Source organism: Homo sapiens, chromosome 10, assembly GCF_000001405.40.
Source record: "Homo sapiens chromosome 10, GRCh38.p14 Primary Assembly".
In the NCBI taxonomy this organism is placed as follows: domain Eukaryota; kingdom Metazoa; phylum Chordata; class Mammalia; order Primates; family Hominidae; genus Homo; species Homo sapiens.
Genome location: NC_000010.11, coordinates 98003664 through 98023722, shown reverse-complemented (window position 1 = coordinate 98023722; position 20059 = coordinate 98003664). Strand labels below are relative to the sequence as shown.

The 20059-nt window shown below is 45.2% G+C and overlaps 1 protein-coding gene across 2 annotated transcripts in view; it reads left to right on the top strand.

Moving 5' to 3' along the window:
- Positions 1–20059, top strand: part of CRTAC1 (cartilage acidic protein 1) — a 165622-nt gene that overhangs the window by 6899 nt on the left and 138664 nt on the right. For both annotated transcript variants that reach the window (NM_018058.7, NM_001206528.3), the window contains exon 2: positions 12386–12585. In NM_018058.7, coding sequence (NP_060528.3) covers positions 12386–12585 — 200 coding nt within the window. The remainder of the gene's footprint in view (positions 1–12385; positions 12586–20059) is intronic.

The following is a 20059-nucleotide window of genomic DNA, read 5'->3' as shown; positions in this document are numbered from 1 at the left end:
GTCCCTGTAATCAGAGGAGCTGGGTGGCAGGCTCTTTCCGTCACCGGCAGTCTCTTCCTCTAAGGGGTGGCACATTCCCTTTCACTCTGGTCTCTAAGAACAGGCTCTTTCTTAGAAATCATCATCATGCACCTCTCATCTGAGAAGCTGTGTATATCCAAAGAGGCTTTTTTCAGGTGGGGAAATAAGAGTCCTCAAGGAGAAATGCTGCCTTGTAAACAGTATGAGGGAGACACCGTCATTTGTTCTCAGCCACAAATTCAGTGCCTAGCATGGCACTTGGCATGTGGAGGGGCTCAGTAGGTGCTCAGTGGGTGCACAAATGAGTAAGTGAATGTTGGTGGCCATTCTGGGGCAGAGGTGACCCTTGGTATTCGATTTGATCTCCAAACCCGCCTTCCATCTAGCTCCTTCCCAGAGCTGGCACAAGGACTATGTAAACCTCCAAAGGTCCCCTGATCAAGCAGCGCTTGAGGACTCCAGGCAAGGCCCACTCCATGAGATGGTGGCTGGCTCTGAGCCTGGAGCAAGGCTGAGTTTCTCTTCCTCTTTACCTCCCTTTGCTGTTTTCCCTCTCCTTCCCGCCCCCTTCCCACCTGGCTGCTGCAGGGAAGCTCAGTGCAGGTTTACTTTGCTTGAAGCTGATAGACTGCATGGAAATTTGGACTTCCACTGGAGACAAACTAGGAAGTGAATCACAAATATATATCTGGGAGGATCCTTTTAAATAGTGGGGTCCACGAGTGCATTTTAAATTATTTAGGGAAAAAACTTGACACGTAAACTATTAGGCCTGGAAAAGAACTTTGGAGGTCATCCAGTGCCCTACCCCACCCCTGGCCCCAGGATGTTCAAATCCTCTCTGTGATACTCTCACTCACTCTTCAGAAACACGGTCTATCCATCCTGCACACTGCTGCCTGAAGTCTAAAATGCCCTTTCAAAAATGCAAGTCTGATCCTGTCTCTGCCCGACTTCAAAACTTCCCTCATGGTGTGACTCCAGGCTCCTTACCGTGGCATAGCAGGCTCTCCAGGCCCCAGCTGCTGCCCCACATAAGACTGTGTCTCCATCCTTGTCCCCACCCTCCCCTCTTCTCTCTCCCCTCCACCCCATATCCCAGACATTGCATTCCAGCAGCAACAAATGCATTCACAGCATGTATCAAGCTGTCTCACATCCATATCGTTGATCCATAGGTCTCCAGCATCTAGAATCCAATTCACCATCTTCAGAGAGCCTTTTCTGCCTGCCCTTCCCACCACGTCCCTAGTTAATCCCTCCCTCCTATGGCTTGTGTCGAGGCTTTGTACCTGTCTCTTTTTTTCTTTTATTTTTTCTTTCTTTCTTTCTTTTTTTTTCTTTTTGAGAAGGAGTTTTGCTCTTGTTGCCCAGGCTAGAGTGCAATGGCGTGATCTCGGCTCACCCCAACCTCTGCCTCCCAGGTTCAAGTGATTCCCCTGCCTCAGCTTCCCAAGTAGCTGGGATTACAGGCATGCACCACCACACCCAGCTAATTTTGTATTTTTAGTAGAGTTGGGGTTTCTCCATGTTGGTCAGGCTGGTCTCAAACTCCTGACCTCCTGTGATCTGCCCGCCTCGGCCTCCCAAAATGCTGGGATTACAGGTGTGAGCCACCGTACCCGGCCTACTTTGTACCTGTTTCTACTCTGAGGTTATCCCACTGAATTGTGTCTCACCCCTGGTAGATTGTAAGCTCCTTGAGGTCAGGGACCACGTCTTTTTCATCATTTCTAACGTGGCCCATAGGCATCTTCTCAATGTTTGAAGAATTAATGTGTATAGCATAGCATGCTAAGGGGTTCTGTGCTTAGGAAGCAGTATTTAAGGAGTCAAAGAACTCCATCAGGGTCCCCTAGACAAATTAGTTACAGAAGCAAACCTATTCCTCAAAGTCTCATAGCCCAGAGCATTCCATTCAACATTTGGCAACTACTCCTGGAAGGGGAGCACCGAGCAGGCCTGGACTCCCTCACCTGAGATGCATTCATGCATCTCACAAACATTTATTACTAGTAGTAATGGTGTGATTATTGGTACTGTTACCTACCACGTGTGGACTTTCTCTATGCCAGGCATTATGCTCAGCACTTAACATACATTCACCTCATTTCATTCTCATGGCAACCCGATAAACATTATTTCCCATTTTACAGAACGGGAAGTCTGAGCAGTTAATAGTACCTATTAAGAACCTGCTGTGACTTCTGCATAAGGCTAGGAGATTCCATTTGTCCTCTCACTTTCAGAAACACCATTTCATTAGCCCACTGGCCTCTGTGGCACTTCCTCACCTGGGTCCCCCGAGGTTTTGTCTGCCTTTTTCTGGAGCAAGCCCAAGTCTCCTGTCTATGAGTGCTGCTGCAGGCAGTGTCTAGAGCTGTCTCCAGGTAGAGGGGAGGAAGAGGAATTCTTACATTTTCTTGGTGCTGGGGAAAATGCATGAAACATGCCACCTTCTGGGGGGTAGGGAGTTGTAGAGGTCTGGAGTTTGTCTCTTAGGCTGGCAATACAGAGGACAAGGGTGGGGGACAGGGTGGAGAAACAGAAGCATTAGAATGTATGCTAATGCCATACATTACCAAAACTTCATCTTGTTCTCAGCTGTTTTCCTAGTGCCCAGAGCGGTACCTGACATAGAGTAGGTGCACAAGAAATACTGAATGAATGAATGAATGAATGAATGAATGAGTGAATAGTGGCCTCCAGTGTTCTTGCTCACTTGGGCCACAGTATTTGCCTCCTAACTGGCTTCTTTGCTTCCAGCCCAGCTTTCTCATGACCTTCTTCACACTGTACTGACACAGTATTCCTTCTAACACACCACTCCAGCCATGGCATTCCCTGGCCCACTGGGCCTGTGTCACTCACAAGGCTTCCAAGGTCTTTTCCAGCCTCCTTTGCTGCACTCCTTCCCACCAGGTGTCCTGCCCCTGCCCCGAGTCTGCACTGCAGAGCCTCACTGCACTACACAAACCTGCACATCTCCCATGCACCTGCTCCCCTCAGCCTGGAACACTCTCTCCACCTTGTTCCTCTGGCCCACTTGGCGTTGCCTCTTAGGCCTTCCCCAGCTTCCCCAGGCAGAGGTGGTTGCTCCTTTCACTGTGCTCCCATCTCATGGTTAAGACAAATTTGATGTCATAAGAGAAACTATTCAGTATGGTGCTGAAGAATTCTGGAGCTCATTTGCTTAGACACACATCCTGGATCCACCAGGTACTAGCTGTGTGACCTTGGGCAAGTTACTTACCCTCTCTGTGCCTTAGTTTTCTTATCTGTAAAATGCGGACAGTGGTAGTTCTTCTCTCACAGGCTTACTATGTGTATTAAGTGGGTTACTTATGTGAAGGGTTAGAGTAATGCCTGGCACATGGTCAGTGGTAGATATGTATTATTATTGTTACTATCCATTCCTCGTATAGTACTTGCTATGCAAAATATCAATTATGTGCCTCTCTGTGTGTCTGGTGTCCAGAGTCCATATGAAGATCCACACGACCCACTCTGAGATTTAGGAAGGGAGCTCTGACAGCGTGTGGAAGTGGGAGGAGGGGAGAGGAGAGACAGAAGCAGTTAGCAGGTATTGCTATTGTTCAGGTGAGTGAGAAAGGGGCAGATCCCCCACAGGAAAGGTGGAAAAACTGAGCAGGATTGAGAGAGATTTGTGAAGCAGAATTGACTCAGGGATCCAGTGGGTGTGAAGAATGAAGAGGCAGCAGAGATGGTGCCAGATTTCCAGGCTGAGTGACAGTGTTGGGGTTTGAAGGGGCCCAGCGAATAGCATCCCACTCCCCGACTCAGATTCAGGGCCAACTAAGAGAAAGGACAAGACAGGTGGGGCTCAGGCAGGTGGAGAGGGAAATGCCACCTTTATTCCAGAGGCAGCTGCCTGGCAGGCCAGGCTCCCGTGGGGCTTGCTGACACCTTATCCCTGCCCACTGCAGGCTTCTCTGTGGGTGGGGGCAGGGCAGAGCTTGCCTGGCCAAGCTCCACACATGGCAGAGTGGCCCTTGCAGGGAGGCAGGTCCAGGGAGGGCTCTTTGATCCCAGTTCTTTCAAACTGACCAGTTCTTTCAAACTCCCTCCCTTGGGAGAAGGGAGCAGAGTAAAGACGGAGGCCCAAAATGTCAATCTAGCTAAGGTTTCTCCATCTCAGCACTGTTGACATTTTGGGCTGAATAATTGTGGGGGCTGTCCTGTGCATTGTGGATGTTCAGCAGCATCCTGTGCCTCTACCCACCAGATTCTAGAAGCACCTCTTCCCTGGTTGTGACAACCAAAAGTGTCCCCAGATATTGCCAAAAGTCCCCAGGGCCAGAGGGCAGCAAAATCGCCGTGGTGGAGAACCACTGCTCTAGTCTGATGGAAGGGCCTTTGGCTGGAAACATGCAATGTGGGGAAATGGGTGCTGCCTCCTAGCTTATAAGCCAGGCGGCGGGGTCTGTAGATAGGGAAGGACAGGCTGGGTGAAGGCTGGGTCCTCCTGACCTTTGCAAAGTCGGCTCTCTGTCTGTTTTGCTTTCCTTCCTGCTCCTCCTCCTGCCTCTCCTTGCCCAGCTAACTTCATGGCATCCTCAGAGTCCAGCTACAACCCCTCCCTCTAGGAAGCACTTCCCAGCTCCCCCCCCAGCTAACTTACATCTCTCTGTGCTCCCTCCTCCGCAGCACCCCTCACCCTGTACTGCAAATGGTGAGCAGCTTTCTTGCTGTGACCCTAGCACCTAGCACAATGCCAGGGTTATCGAGGGTCTGCAAGAAGTCTTGTCACAGGTGAAGACCCAGGGCAGCTCCTGTTAGCTCTTCTCCAGTGTTGCTTGAGTTCCAGGAGCTCTTTTGTGGGTGTCTTTGTGGAGCTGGTGGCCCAGCCTGTGTGGGGCAGTGTTCCCGTGGCTGCCTCTCTCCTTCATGTCTCAGCCCTCCTACAAGTGTCTGAAAGGCTGTGTATTCTCTGCTTGTCGCCAACGTCGGAAATATTTAGGCTTCTTGTTTTTATGAGAGCTTGGGGTGTGACCTTGGCTCTTTCCATAATTGCAAAAGAACTGTTTGCCCCGAAAATTGCCCTGGAAGACTTTCCCCACAGCTGCCTGACCCCACGTCAGAGAATCCAGGTTGCTTGGTTACCAGTTTCCAGGCCCAATTCAGGAAAGTCCTGAGGCCACAGAAAACTGAGTTTGGCTACATGGAACCCACAATTAATGTCTAAAGACTATCTCACCTTTCAGCTCTCTATGTCAAAGAAGGGGAACGTGCAAGTTGGCTGCCGCCTGCCTGGCCCTGGAGAGGCCTTCCCTGTCACTCACTTAACCCTTGAAATCTTGGCAGGTCATACGATCTCCATGGTACAGATGAGGACACCAAAGACCAACAAGATCAAGGAATAGGCCCAAGGTCATGAGCTAGGCTGTGGTAGGGTTGAGATCCAAAGCCAGGTTGCTAACTCCCAATGTTGGTCTCTCTCTCTCTCTCTTTTTTTTTTTTTTTTTTTTTTTTTTTTTTTTTGCGGGCATCTTGCTCTGTCACCCAGACTGGAATGCAGTGCACAATCTTGGCTCACTGCTGCAACCTCCGCCTCCTGGGTTCAAGCAATTCCTGCCTCAGCCTCCTGAGTAGCTGGGATTACAGGCGGTGCCCCTTACCACACCCAGCTAATTTTGTTGTATTTTTAGTAGAGACGGGGTTTCACCATGTTGGCCAGGCTGCTCTTGAACTCCTGACCTCAAGCAATCCGCCTGCCTCGGCCTCCCAAAGTGCTGGGATTCCAGGCATGAGCCACCATGCCTGGCCTCTCTTTATCTCTCTATCTCTTCACCTTGCTGGGAATTGTTCAAAAAGTTTGCTTATAGAGCATTTTTAAGAAATTATTAGCAGATACGATGGCTCACACCTGTAATCTCAGCACTTTGGAAGGCCACTGTGGAGAATTGCTTGGGCCCAGGAAGTTCAAGATCAGCCTGGGCAACATAGCAAGACCCCATCTCCACCAAAAAAAAAAAAAAAATAGCCAGGAGTGTTAGCACCCCACTGGAGTCCTAGGCTACTTGAGAGGCTGAGGTGAGACAATTGCTTGAGCCCAGGAGTTTGAGAGTGCAGTGAGCTATGATCATGCTACTGCACTCCAGCCTAGTTGACAGAGTGAGACCCTATCTCAAAAAACAGAAAAGAAATTATTATTAAAAAACAATTCTTCTCACAGCTTGAAACACAAGTTTTCCCATCTCTGGCCCTTATGAAGTCCCTTCTTTTCCCCCTCCGCACATCTCCCCTGCAGGAGAAGCCCACATCCCTTACCGAGGCACCCTGCGCTCTGGCCCTGTGCCCCTCTGCCTTTGATATTTAGCTTCGCCTTGTCTGGGCTGCTTTACCTGGATAGCCTCCCATTGCCTTTACACGGGGTGTTACACCTGAGATCACATGGCTGCTCCGCTGATTGTTGGGAGAGCTCCTTGAAGGCAAAGGCTGGGTTTTATTCATCTTTGCACTCCTAGGACCTTCCACATCTCTGCATGGAGTACTGTGTACTGTGTACTTCTCTAGTGCTACTCCTGCCGGGGAGTGCTACTCCCAGTGCTCTAATACATAGTAGGTGCTTGATACACAAGCATTCAAGAAAACAAAACAGTTCAGTTCAACCTACTTTTTCATTCTATTTTTAACCTTTCTACCATTCTCCCCAAGGATTCAGATGTTCACAGTGGTGTGACAAGAGGCTCCCTGAGTCAGCCACACAAAATGCGAGGTCACTCCGGGTGCCAGCTGCTCTTCTGTTTCAGGCAGTGTCATCCTGCTCTGCTTTTCCCCCAAAACTTTATATCCCCCCTCCTCCTCTGACACTCCCTAGATAAATAGGTTTTCTTTATAGACTTCAACCAGCCGGTGATGAATTTGGGTAGCAGAAACATTTCTCACTTCAAATCAGATTGCAGCTTCCCATCTGGGGACCACAAGGCTGGGGCAGTGGTTCTCAGCCCAGACTGTCCATTAACATGATCTGAGCAGCTTCTAAAAATACACAGCACTCAAACTCCCACCTCAGACCAGTTCAATCAGAAACTGGGTAAGGGACCTGGGTGGTGGCATATTTCTAAACACCTCCACCCGAGGTGGTTCTGTTGGGCAGCTAGGGTTCAGAGCCGCCAGCCTAGAGTCTCATATCACCTGACAACTTCCTGGGAATGCAGGCTCTCAGGGACCACCCCACACCTACCAAATCCGAATCTGTATTTTCAACATGACCCTCAGGTGATTGGTAAGCACATTGCCTTTTGAGGAGCATTTCTTTAGAGGAAGAACGGCTTTTAAACACCTATGACAAATTGCAAGCAGTTTCTGTTGATTCATGTTATCAATTGGACATACTCATTCCCGCGCTTACTTAACACATATTAACAGAGCGCCTGCTAGGTACCAGGCACTATGATGGTTTCTGGGAACACAGTGGCATATGTTTCTATCTTGGCCTGCAAATTCCTACCCAGAACCCCTTCTTCCTAGACTCTGCCCTTTGATGGGAGCTGTCCTTCATCTCCTTGACCTGACCCTCTCTGCAGCATCAACCCTTTCCCCTTCTCACCTCTTCATAAAAATTAGAGTCAGAATCCCTCTTTGTCACTCCTTGTCAATTGTGGTACTTTGATCTTGAGCTGAAGACAGCCAGCACTTTGAGTGTGTAAAGATAAACTGAGCCTGGGCAGCTCTGGAGATTGCATAACCTAGGATTGATTTCAGCTCCTTAGATCCAGAGGCAGAGGAGAATGTTCTTAAACCAATCTCGTGCCTTCACTGTAGTATATAGCCTGGTTTCAGGACTCTGGGAGCTACAGTATGGAACCTGGTATTCGATGTGTAGTTTATGGACCAATATCACCACCACCACCTGGGAGCTTGTTAGAAATATAGAATCTTGTGCTCCACTGCAGAATTATTGAATCAGAATCTGCATTCTAACAAGACCACCAGGTGATTCATACACACATTAAAGTTTGAGAGGCACTGATATAGAGCACTGCTCATCAAATTTTGCAACATATTAGAATCATGTGGGAGCTTTTAAAAATCTGATATCCCATGATTATATATTAACAGCAACAAAAATTTGGTGCCCTTGCTACATATACTGTGCCAGTTAAGTCAGAATATCTTGAGATGAGACCCAGGCATTAGTATTTTTTTATTGTGATGAAATACACAGAACATAAAATTTGCAATTTTAACCATATTTAAGTATATACTTTAGTGATGTTATGTACGTTAACATTGTTGTACAACCATCACCACCATCTACCTTCAGAACTTCTTCATCTTCCCATATGGAAACTCCATAATCCACTAAACACTAACTCCCATTTCCCCCTATACCCAGCCCCTGGCAACCACCATTCTGCTTTCTACCTCTATGAATCTGACTACTCTGGACACCTCGTAGAAGTGGAACATACAGTGTTTGTCCCTTTGCGACTGGCTTATTTCACTTAGCATAATGTCTTCAAGATTTACCCACCTTGTACTCTGTGTCCGAATTTCTTTCCTTTTATTTATTTTTTATTTTTTCTTTCTTCCTATATAAAAGCAATTCCTTCATTTTTAAAGCTGAATAATATTGCACTGTATGCATATATCACATTTTGTTTATCCATTCAACCGTTGATGGACACTTGGGATGCTTCTGCCTTTTGGCTATTGTGAATAATACTTCTATGAACATGGGTATACAAATATCTGTTCATGTCTCTTTTCTCAATTCTTTTGTGTATATGCCCAAGTGGAATTGCTAGATCATATGACAATTCTAATTGGAATTTTTTGAGGAATTGCCATACTGTTTTTCACAGCAGCTGCATTATTTTACATTTCTGCCAGCAGTGCACAAGGATTCCAATTTCTCTACATCCTCACCAACACTTTTTTTCTGTTTTTGTTTTTTATTACAGCCATCCTAATGGGTGTGAAATGGTATCTCATTGTGGTTTCGATTTGCATATCCCTAATGATTAGTGATGTTTCATGTACTTATTGAGCATTTGTATATCTTCGGAGAAATGTCTATTCAAGTCATTTGTTTTGAGTCAGGTTGTTTAGTTTTTTTGTTGTTGAGTTGTAGGAGTTCTTTATATATTCTGGATATTAATACCTTGTTAGATATATGATTTGCAAATATTTTCTCCCATTCTGTGAGTCCTCTTTTCACTCTTTTGATAGTGTCCTTGGATGTACAAAAGTTTTTAATTTTCATGCAGTCTGTTTTAGCTATTTTTTCTTTTGTTGCCTGTGCTTTTGCTGTCTTATCCAAGAAACTATTGTCAGGCATGAGAATTTTTTTAAAGCTCCCCAGATGATTCCAATGCACAGCCAAGATTGAGCAGTGTTTCTCAAATTTTAACACGCATTGGAATAATCTGAAATCTTGTTAAAATGCAGATTCTGATTTATTAAGTCTGGAGTGGGATCCAAGATTCTGCATTTCCAACAAGCTCCTAAGTGATGCCGATGCACTGGTCTGCCGACTGCTCTGAGTAGCCAGGGTGGAGAAGAGCATTTAAATGATTTCCTTTATCTGAACCCCCCAAAAAGAGGGTAAATATTATATTTACAGACCTTCTTCTAAGCTTCCTCACCGTAACCATTGCCCAAAAAATACGCCATCAAGACAGCCCACTGCTTATCCCTGACTTTTCAACTGGTACTGAGAAGCCCGGTGGGTGCATTGGGTGCCTTTGGCATGGCAGAGGAATGAAATGTAAAGGACTTATTCTCCCTGCCCCACTCTCTCCCTGGTCTCATGGGGAGGCCAACCACTGGTCTACTCATGCTGGGTGAGTTCAGGATCCACACTAATGATGGCTTGCTCCTCTCTGGCCTTGGCCCTTGTGAGGCAACTACTGTAGAACCCTGCTGAAAAGCTTGTCTTGTTCAAAATATGTTTAATATCCTTAGAAAGGAAAACCACATGGGTTGGCCTGAAGTTTATAGAAGCAGCTTAGGAGGGAAAAAACTGTTGAAGGTCTGCATCCAAAAAACAAAATCTTTTAATTCATCATAGAATTTTAGAGCCAGAAAGGACCTTTAGAGAACTCCAAACCTTTATTTTGGAGAAGAAAGCTGAGACCCAAAGAGGTTGTGACTTGTTTTAAGGTCACCCAAGCAAAATAGAGGTCAGCCAATGGGTGCATTATTTCTTTCTCATCTTGCTTTAGGTTATTTATCTGGAAACGGATAACACAGCAGCTACTTCTTTCGTATGTCTTCTTTAATTAAAAGAAAAGGTAAAACTAAAGAGGCTAGATCATAATTCTTGACTCTTAGGGCCTTCACTGGAAAGGTTCTAATGATTAGAACTTTTAGGCTCATATTACCTGAATGGGGCCAGCCTCCCTGGTGGCCGTGACCCAAATTGCAGATGTGGTGCCTGGGAGGAACTAACTAGCTTCGAAAAGACATGTTAGATGCCACTTTTCTCTTCCATGCCCATTGCTGATGTTGTAAGCTGATCACAGCACTCTTTCCAGCCACTGCCAGTCAATTGGATTTGGCCCTCAAATTGAAACTCCTTTGCCATTCACTACAATAGAGGTCATCCCTTGAAAAGTCCAATGACCTTCAGATCCATGCTACATTTCGGCATGTCGACACTGGTTATTAAATACTCTTTAGTTTCCCATTTCCTCCCCCATCCCCACCCAGCTGCTCATTAATCCAATTATGAGTTTCCTTTATCCAATCAAAGTTCCTGCCAAGTTGCAGAGCTCTTGTAGTGATTCATGATGCATTTGTCTTTAGTGATTAGAAAACCCAGTAGAAGATGCTGTCTCATTCAGACATCTCTGTAATTTGGAATGACCTCAGTTTGGTAGTGCCACACCCCACATGTGCCCTGTGAACACACTACAAGAACCTCCTTCCCAGTTTCTGCCCTGCAATTGGAGCCTTGCCCCTGTGTCACTCCCCAGCCTCTCCAGCAAGGCATTCAGGAGGCTCCTGAATCACGTCTGGCTCTGAAGGCAGTGCCCAGCCCCTTCATTTTGGTCTCTGGGTCCTTGAACAGCAAGCTCATTTGCCGGCAGGAGCATCTGTCTCCATATGGGGAGACAGTCTTCAGATCTTCCTTGCTCTTCCCTTCATTAAGACATCAGCCTCAGTCAGCCTTGCCTTGGCTGCCAGATGCACTGACAAGCCAGCAGGAAAAGTTCCATCTAGAAGAGGTCTGCTACCTTCTGAAGGCAGGAAAGTACCGCTTTGCCTGCTGGGACTAGACCCATGCAGCCTTTGTGGACCTCCTTCCAGCAGAGCCTTTAAAACATTTCATGAGTGCTGATTCTAGGCCTGCAGGTAGAGTCTCAGGGTGGTGCCATCTGCAGCGTTCCAAGTGTCTCCCTTGCTTTCACTCAAGGGGGGTGGAATCCCTCCACCTCCTTGGCCATTTTCATCTGTCTCCTGGGTGTGTGCCACAGGCTCCCATGGCCCCAGGCTACTTGGCAACACCCTGAGTTATGTTAGAGATATAATAATGAATTATACAATGCATTATACATAATTAATTTATAATAAAACACGCACGCAATGGTTTAATTTCTCCAAGTGAATGATGTGCTATCCGCCAGATCCTGCTGGAACGCCTCCCCTAACTGACTGCTTCTTGGTCTGGAGGTGATGGCCAGCTGCCCTAGGGAGGGATGTTGGCATGAGGAACCTGCCAAGTCACATATTCCCCCTGGCTACCTCTGGAGTATGTACCACAGGAGAACAGTCTTTCATTGCATCTATTATTGTTCTAGATCTGGATACTCATGAGGGTCTCACCCAAACTCTGCATTGTTTGAGAGCTGTTAGGTTCTTCATTCGCCCAGTCTTTCTCCCAGAGTATGGGAAATGCCTTTGTATTTATACCTTTCCCTCCCCATCTCCCTCCCTTCCTCCCTCCTTTCCTTCCTTCCACAAATATGAAATAAATGAAGGAAAGAAGTGCCTATTATGTGAACTACCTTTGGCTTGCTGCATATCAGTGAATAAAACAGAGATCCTTGCCCAAGTGGAGCTTACACTCTAGCAGAGGGAGGCACACAATAAATAATAAGTGTAATCATAAGTAAATTATACCAAACATCACACAATGATAGATGCTGTAGAAAAAGAAAAAGCAGAGCAGGCTAAGGGCGATCAGCCATGATGGAGTCAGGTTGCAGTTTCAATGAGGGTGGGGAGGGCAAGGGAGGGGAGGGCAGGGCTTGTGGAAAGCCAGCAGCCTAGGCACTGTCAAGCTCTCCATGAATGGGAGAGAAAGGCACTCTGGGCCTACCCAGGACTTTAATGTTCCGGGATTGCTTTGGTTACAGGTTCTTTCGGTAACATTTGTCACTTTTGGTTTCAGATGTCCAGGATGTTACCGTTCCTGCTGCTGCTCTGGTTTCTGCCCATCACTGAGGGGTCCCAGCGGGCTGAACCCATGTTCACTGCAGTCACCAACTCAGTTCTGCCTCCTGACTATGACAGTAATCCCACCCAGCTCAACTATGGTGTGGCAGTTACTGATGTGGACCATGATGGGGACTTTGAGATCGTCGTGGCGGGGTAAGTGCCTCCCACCCTCAGTGTGACAGATATTAATCAGATTTTGCTGTAATAAGGCTGTGTAACAACTCCAAACCCCAGTGACTTGCAACAACATACGTTCTCACTCATAGGTCTGTGGTTGTCTGTGGCTCAGCTGCAGCTTGGCTGGGCTCAGCTGGGGTTCTGGGGTGCTGTGACCTTGTCTTTTGCTACTGCAGTGGGTCAGGATGGAAGGAAGTTTGGAAGAAGGGTGTTTGATCCACAGGCTTTTCAGGGAGAAAACTGGAATGCTCTGCTTTAAGGCACTGTCTTCTCTTCATATTTAAGCCAACTTGATTATGCAGATATTACTTCTTTACCAGTGGGGCTCTAGGATCTCTATACAGGAAGGGCTTAAGGGTGACAATTATGGTAGAAGGGTATGCTCAAAGCTGCCTTTGCACAGCACTTTACATAAGACTAAGAAAACATTAATTAACCGTTTCAAAGAGGGGGGAAGATGGAAATTAAGAGGGTTAGCTAAACCTCCGCTGAGCATGCCTTGTTGCCCACGGCTCCTTTCTCTCCTGAAAACCAACATTGGGTTGCAAAAAAAGCATAAGACTAGGAATCCAAATAGCCTGAGTTCATGCCCTAAGGTGTAAACGTTCCAGTTTTATGTCCTTGAGTCTCTTACTCACTGACATTCAGAGATATCATCTGTAAAAAGGGGAATAACTGTAATGGCTTGTTGTCTTGAAGCCTTCCTAGGCTATTGTGTGTGACAGTGCATTGTAAATTTCTGCCAATCACCATTGATAATTATTATGCATTGAGGGCCGGGTGCAGTGGCTCACGCCTGTAATCCCAGCACTTTAGGAGGCCGAGATGGGTGAATCACTTGAGGTCAGGAGTTCAAGACCAGCCTGGCCAACATGGTGAAACCCCGTCTCTACTAAAAATACAAAAATTAGCTGGGCATGGTGGCGCGCGCATGTAATCCCAGCTACTCAGGTGGCTGAGGCACAAGAATTGCTTGAACCCAGGAGGCGGAGGTTGCAGTAAGCCGAGACGGCACCACTGCACTCCAGCCTGGGCGACAGAGCAAGACTCCATCTAAAAAAAAAAAAAAAAAGATTGTGCATTGAGCACTAATATGTGCCAGACACTATGCATCATCTTATTTCACATCCCTCATTTTATTTCATCCCCAACAGCACTATGAAGTAAATGTATTGTCATCCACATTGAGAGAAAAGGCAGATGGGGTTCAGAGGCAGTAAGCAACTTGCTCTCTGCTAAGTAAATAGTAAGTAGATAAGTCGGGATCTGAACCCCAAGGCTTCCTAACTCTACAGCTGCCAAACTACACTGTACAAAGTTTCGTTATCACTTCAAAAATCAGTCAATCAATAAAAACACTACAGGGGCCTGTCGACCTCATTCTGGGAGGCCTGAGCTTTTTTGGTAGCACTAAAGTAACTGGCGGGTAACATTATTTGCAGCAGTTGCATGTAACAGTAGAAAGCTTTGACCTTGGAATTGAAAGACCTGGTTTTAATTCTAACCGTAGCCAACCTAGTATCTATAAACCCTATGCAATTTACTTTACACAGACCCACTTTCCTCATCTAAGTAAAATGGGCATATTGAAATCTACTGGCCTGCCTCACGGGGTAGTCATGGCGGTTAGTGGTGATGATGTATAGAAAAGATTGTTTGTAAAGTACAGTTTTTATTTTGTCTATTCATTTCTTCTACACTGCAAAGAGTAGAGTTGCTCAATTCTAGGCCTTCTAGATGTAGATTGGTGTGCTATCCAGAAGCATTTTCTGTGATGATGTAAATGTTCTGTGTTGGTGCTGTCCAGTATGGAATCCACCAGCCACACGTAGCTACTGAGTATGTGAAATGGCTAGTGTGACCAAGGAACTGAATTTTTAAATTTTCTTTTATTTTAATTAAAAATAGCCACATTTGAATTGGACAGTACAGTTCTGGGCTTTTAGAAGGAAAAAACTAAAGAGCTGAATATGACAGAAAAGGAGAAATGGAATCATTGTAATGACGCTTTTTACCTGGGGTGACCTGAGCAGGGTTGCAGTTAATCAGCCTTGCCTGTGTCCAGTTCTGTGACTGTCCAGTTGCTCTCTGAATCAGGGAGACACCCTCCTCACTAAGTCCATACCCAAACTGACTCCCAGAGCCATGTGCCACCCTGCCAGAATCTCTGGTTAAAGGACTTTGATGCATCTCTGAGATGTTCTGTTTGGATGGTTGCCCTGCCTCCTACTTGGTGACCCTGGCCTCCCCTGATAGACCCTGGGGACTGACAGAGGACAGAGAATGGCAAGGCAACCGTCCTTCTCTCCTCCTCCTCGCCCCCCAAGTTGCTACTATTATGCCCTCCTTTCATCTTGGAAGATGGTATACTCTCGTATTCCCTCAGGTTAATGTGGAAAAAAGTAAGACCTGAGATATGAACAGAAAGTGTCTTCACCCTATTTTCTTCTCCTTCTGGGACCTGGACATCTGGAAGGAGCTAGCCAGATTGCAGAGCATGGAAAGCCTTTCAGAGCATGGAAAGCCTCTCCCTGTCTCCACTGCAAAGCTGTCTCTGATTTCAGTACCTTGCACTCCTCCCCCAGCCCCTGCCCCTACAATGAGCAGCCAACTCTGCTTCTCATGGTCTGGCTCTCCCTCTTTCTGCCCTGGCTGTTGCAGGAGACCCGTTGGGTGCCCCCCCACCCCACCCCCCACTCTTTTGTACTCTTTTCCCATGGTTCCAGATGGAAGGAAAGAAAGGGTGCGAAGGGCCAAGCACACCCACTAAAGGAGGATGCAAAGAGCCTCTTACAGCATACTTCATTATTTTTGCTATCGTTTTGCCCCTTTCCACAGCATCTCTCTCAAAGGCATGCTGAAATAGTAGGCACAGGTTGCATTGCTCTCCTCAAGATTCATCTTTCAGCTGCGAAGAACAGAACTAGCAGAGAAGGTCTTGGCCCCAGGGCTGGTGCTGGCCTGGGTCTGTTTGGGAAGAAGCAGAGCTGTTTGGTAGCAGAATTTTCAGTTTCCCTATCCTTTCCAGGTCAAAGGGAATGATATGTGCCACCATGGGCCCAGTCGCTGAGGTCAGTTCCCTGAGCCCTGTGCGTAAATGTGGGCTCTGTGTGCAGGTCTTTATCCTGCCAGTCCTTTGATGTGCAGGGGATTGCTCCTGCACCTCCTGAGCCTTCAGCTTCTTTCTTTCCAAGTGCTGGGCATTCATTTCGTCTTCCTCTTCAATGAAGTCTTTTTCTCTTTCTCTTTCAAGAAATGTGCCTTTGTGTCCTCTGTGCTAGTGAAGCTAGACCATCATTTGCACTGACTACAAGGTTTAGAAGTCTCAACCTTGTCTAGCTTGCTGTTTATGTGGGTCCTATAGGACTTTGGAGTCATCCTCCGGAAACAAGAACTAGACCATCCTGGGTCTTGATGTGAAATCAGCCATTTAGAGAGACCCCTATCTCTTCTTCCAGGGCAGGGTTGAGCAAAGCAGCCTCTGTCTGAGAAAGCTTAGGCTGCTGGATGTTATTCTGAAAGATGATATTTATTGCTCACCCCCAGCAAAGAATAAGAGTTACACAGAAGACAGGATGGCAAAATTGGGCAGTCTCCCAGCTCCAGGTCAGGCTTTCTTTGTGGCTGTTGTGAAGCATTGCGAATTCTCAGCGCATCAGAAAGACACATTCTAATTTGAGTACCAAAATACATTCCAAAGGCAAATATAACTTTTTATTATCTTCAGCTTTGGATGATTTGTCACTGTCTCCTTTTTTGGGCTGGATAACCAAAAGTGGACTATACAGACATATTTAAATCAGGACCTTGGGAGGTCATTTGGTCCACCCCTTGCCTTACAATAAGACCACACCTATAGTATTCGGAGGCTCCATTTACTTTGAGCCATCCAAGCGAACGTGGCAATCCTACTGTAATCCAGCTCGATAGTTACTTATGTCAAGAACCGATTTGACTAATCTGAATCCCACATATTAGAGTTTAATAAGCCATTTCTTTTAGGTTTTGTTTTGCTATTGCCTTTGAAGATATAAACCAGATGATCACTGTCTTTTCAAACAATGAAAGCTAGGATCACTGCCCTGCCTTTCATCCTATGTGGACTTTTTGACATTTCTGATTTTGACTCTTAGATTTCATCCACCCTAAACCTATATTTAATTCTGCTTTATTATCTGTCTGATTGTCAACTCACTGTTTAAGAATCATGTAGCAGGAGTTGAAATTTTGAAAAATTGCATTTGAAATCTTCATCAGGGGCACCTATGGTTCAGTTCATGACAGGTCCACCCTCTATTACCTTATAGACCTTTCCATTACCTGTCCCCTGAAGGCATTTACTTTTGCCACCCCTGGGAGAACAGCCAGCTCTTCAGTTTATAAAGCGCTCCGTACTTGAACTTGTCTTGAATGTGTTGACCTTGTAGTATGTCTGACTGGAGCCCTGTTGCTTTGAGTATTTACTCTTTGAATAGGTTTGTTTTGTGTTGCTTTTTCGGTGTCCTCGTTCTGGGTATTGACAGCATTGATTTTGAGCTTGTTGCGGGTCGGTTTGTGTTGTGTTTCAGATTCTTGAGTTAATTGTGATGGAAGGCGTGTGCATGTCTCTGACTCTGGGAGGAGCAGGAAATGACCGCCCTTTGTTCTGCGGGGATGGGGGAGGGACTGGGCCGGCTCAGATCCTCTGCACATCTGGGCGAGTGCCTCCGCATATGGAGGGCTTATCTGTTAACCAGCAGGTGCATGATTGCAGTCTGCTCCCTGTGGGGTGAGGGGAAGATTTGATCACCTCTGGCAACTTCCGTGCACGCACAGACCATTTAGGATCTTCAGGACTGTTTTTTCAGTAAATAGAAAGCCCAGTGGCTTCTCCTTTTCTCAGTGGAACTAAACACCCAATCTACAGTCTCACAGATTCTGGAAAGGAATTCCTGTTGGTGTCAATCTTGTACAATTCCTTTAGAGCAGCTTTGGTTTCCTGGGATATCCCCAGAGGTCTGAGGTAACACCCCTACCATCTCAGTTTCCAAAAGGAGTTTGCTCAAATGGAAAGACTGTAGTGGTTGTAAAGTTTAAATCATGATTTGGATCCATTTTTCTACCCAAAGATTATTCATTTGATAAAACCGTAACACATTCTTCACACTTGGAAGGGTTTCATTTAAAGGGATGCTATATACTGTAAAGCAGTGTTTTAGGTTTTTCTTAATTTTGCAACTATGTCAGTAAACTTTTTTAATTTACTAAAGTTAATTGAATTATTTAAAAGGCAAATTGTATTCAATTGCCAAATTAATCATGATCATATAGGAGATAAATTTGCCATTATAAATAATAAGAACAATGATTTTTTAAAAGACACATTTATCCATGATTTAGCCAAAGCAGCATTTATGCATTTTATTTTAAGTATATATAGATACATGTAGTATATAGATATATATATAGTATTTATAGATAGATATGGTAAATAATAGGTAGATGTAGTATGTATATAAATATAATTAGATACATATTGAAATATATATATATGCACACATTCACATATGCTTTTAACAAAATCCGAATAAATATTTTTGAACTTTCAGTCTTAATTGTTGTGGTGTGTAACATTTTAATAGATTTGATAATCAGTTTTGATATTATCTTAAAATGTTAAATTATTTCATTCTGTTTCTTTTTTTTTAACTTAAAATATATTTTACTTTTGGCCAGGCATGGTGGCTCACGCCTGTAATCCCAGCACTTTGGGAGGCCGAGGCAGGTGGATCACCTGAGGTCAGGAGTTCGAGACCAGCCTGGCCAACATGATAAAACCCCTTCTCTACTAAAAATACAAAAATTAGCCAGGCGTGGTGGCACGTGCCTATAATCCCATCTACTTGGGAGCCTGAGGCAGGAGAATCGCTTGAACTCGGGAGGGGGAGATTGCAGTGAGCCGAGATCATGCCATTGCACCTCAGCCTGGATGACAAGAGCAAAGCTCCATCTCAAAAAAAAAAAAAAAAAAAAATATATATATATATATATATGTATTACTTTACATTACACTTAAGCACATTTTGTTGCAAAAAAAAAAATCACACAACCTAGGTCAAGGTAAAAATCCATTTTTACCAACCCACACTCCTTCAAGACCATCCCAGCCCCTTCCCAGAGTAACAACTGTTTCCGGTTTGCTGTTTATGCTTCCAGAAATTTCTATGTCATGTATATGGAGAAAGAGTGTGTGAGAGAGACAGAGACATAGGGAGAAAGAGTTTATGTTATGTACATTTCTATTGTGTATATATATTATAAAATATATAATTTCTGGAGAAATCACACTGATACATATTGTTCCAAAACTTGCTTTTTTTCACTGCATAATATGTTCAAACATATAGATGTAGCTTTTTTTTTAAGTTGCTTAGTATGGATGTACTGTATTCATTTTGCCATTCCTCAAGTGACGTTTAAGCTGTTTCTAATCTGTGACCATTGCAAACTCCACCACACTGCATGTACATCCTTACACACATATGCAAATATTTCTTTAGGATGGATACCAAGAAATGGAACTGCAGGGTCAGGGATATGTTCATTTTAAATCTTATTAGATATCACCAAATTGCTTCCAATCTAATCTTTTTGTATTTACTCATAGCCTAGAAATAAAAGGTTTTGGATTATTCAGCTCAACAGCTATTCAAGCACCTACTGTGTGTACAGCCATGTATGCTCCAGGGTCTGAACTTTGTCAATGTAGATTTAACAATCCCAAGAAGGAAAAGAGGGCCTCTTCTACATCTGCAAAGGAAGCTGCTGCTATTAAAACTGAATTGAGGAACTTCAGCACTTTCTGATTCAAACTGCTGAAAGGGCCTGCTCTAAAGCCTCTTCTGCAAAAATATATTTCTTAAATGGGTCACCCTTAACCCTGAAATTTCATTGTTGTTGGTATCATGGAAGAATGGTTGCAGTGTGCCAGCTCTTCAGCTGTGGTTTTGGATGGACTGCCCCTGATTTTGAATACTAATAAATACCAATTAAATTAAATACTAATTAAATGCTAATACGTATTAATTGGATCAGGGGCCAGGGCTTTTTTAGCCCATTCTTAAAACTTTTCTAAAAAAGGTTACCTAGCAGTGCCTGGCAGGTTTGCCAGAGCTGTCCCATTGCCGCATCCGTACCTCCTTCTCCCCAGTCCTGGGCAGCCAGGAGCAATGGGCAGAATTCCACTTCCACCCCCTCACCCCAAATTACATACTCTCCTGATCAGTTCAAAGGTCTGAGGCCCCTATGTAATTACCCCAGACAGACAGGCAGACAGACAGACACACATGCACACATACACACAGAACAAGTGTGCCAGTTGGTGTGGTAGACAGAATAATGGCCTCCCCAAAATGCCACATCCTAATCCCCAGAACCCACCAATAGGTTATCTTACCTGGCAAAGTGGGCT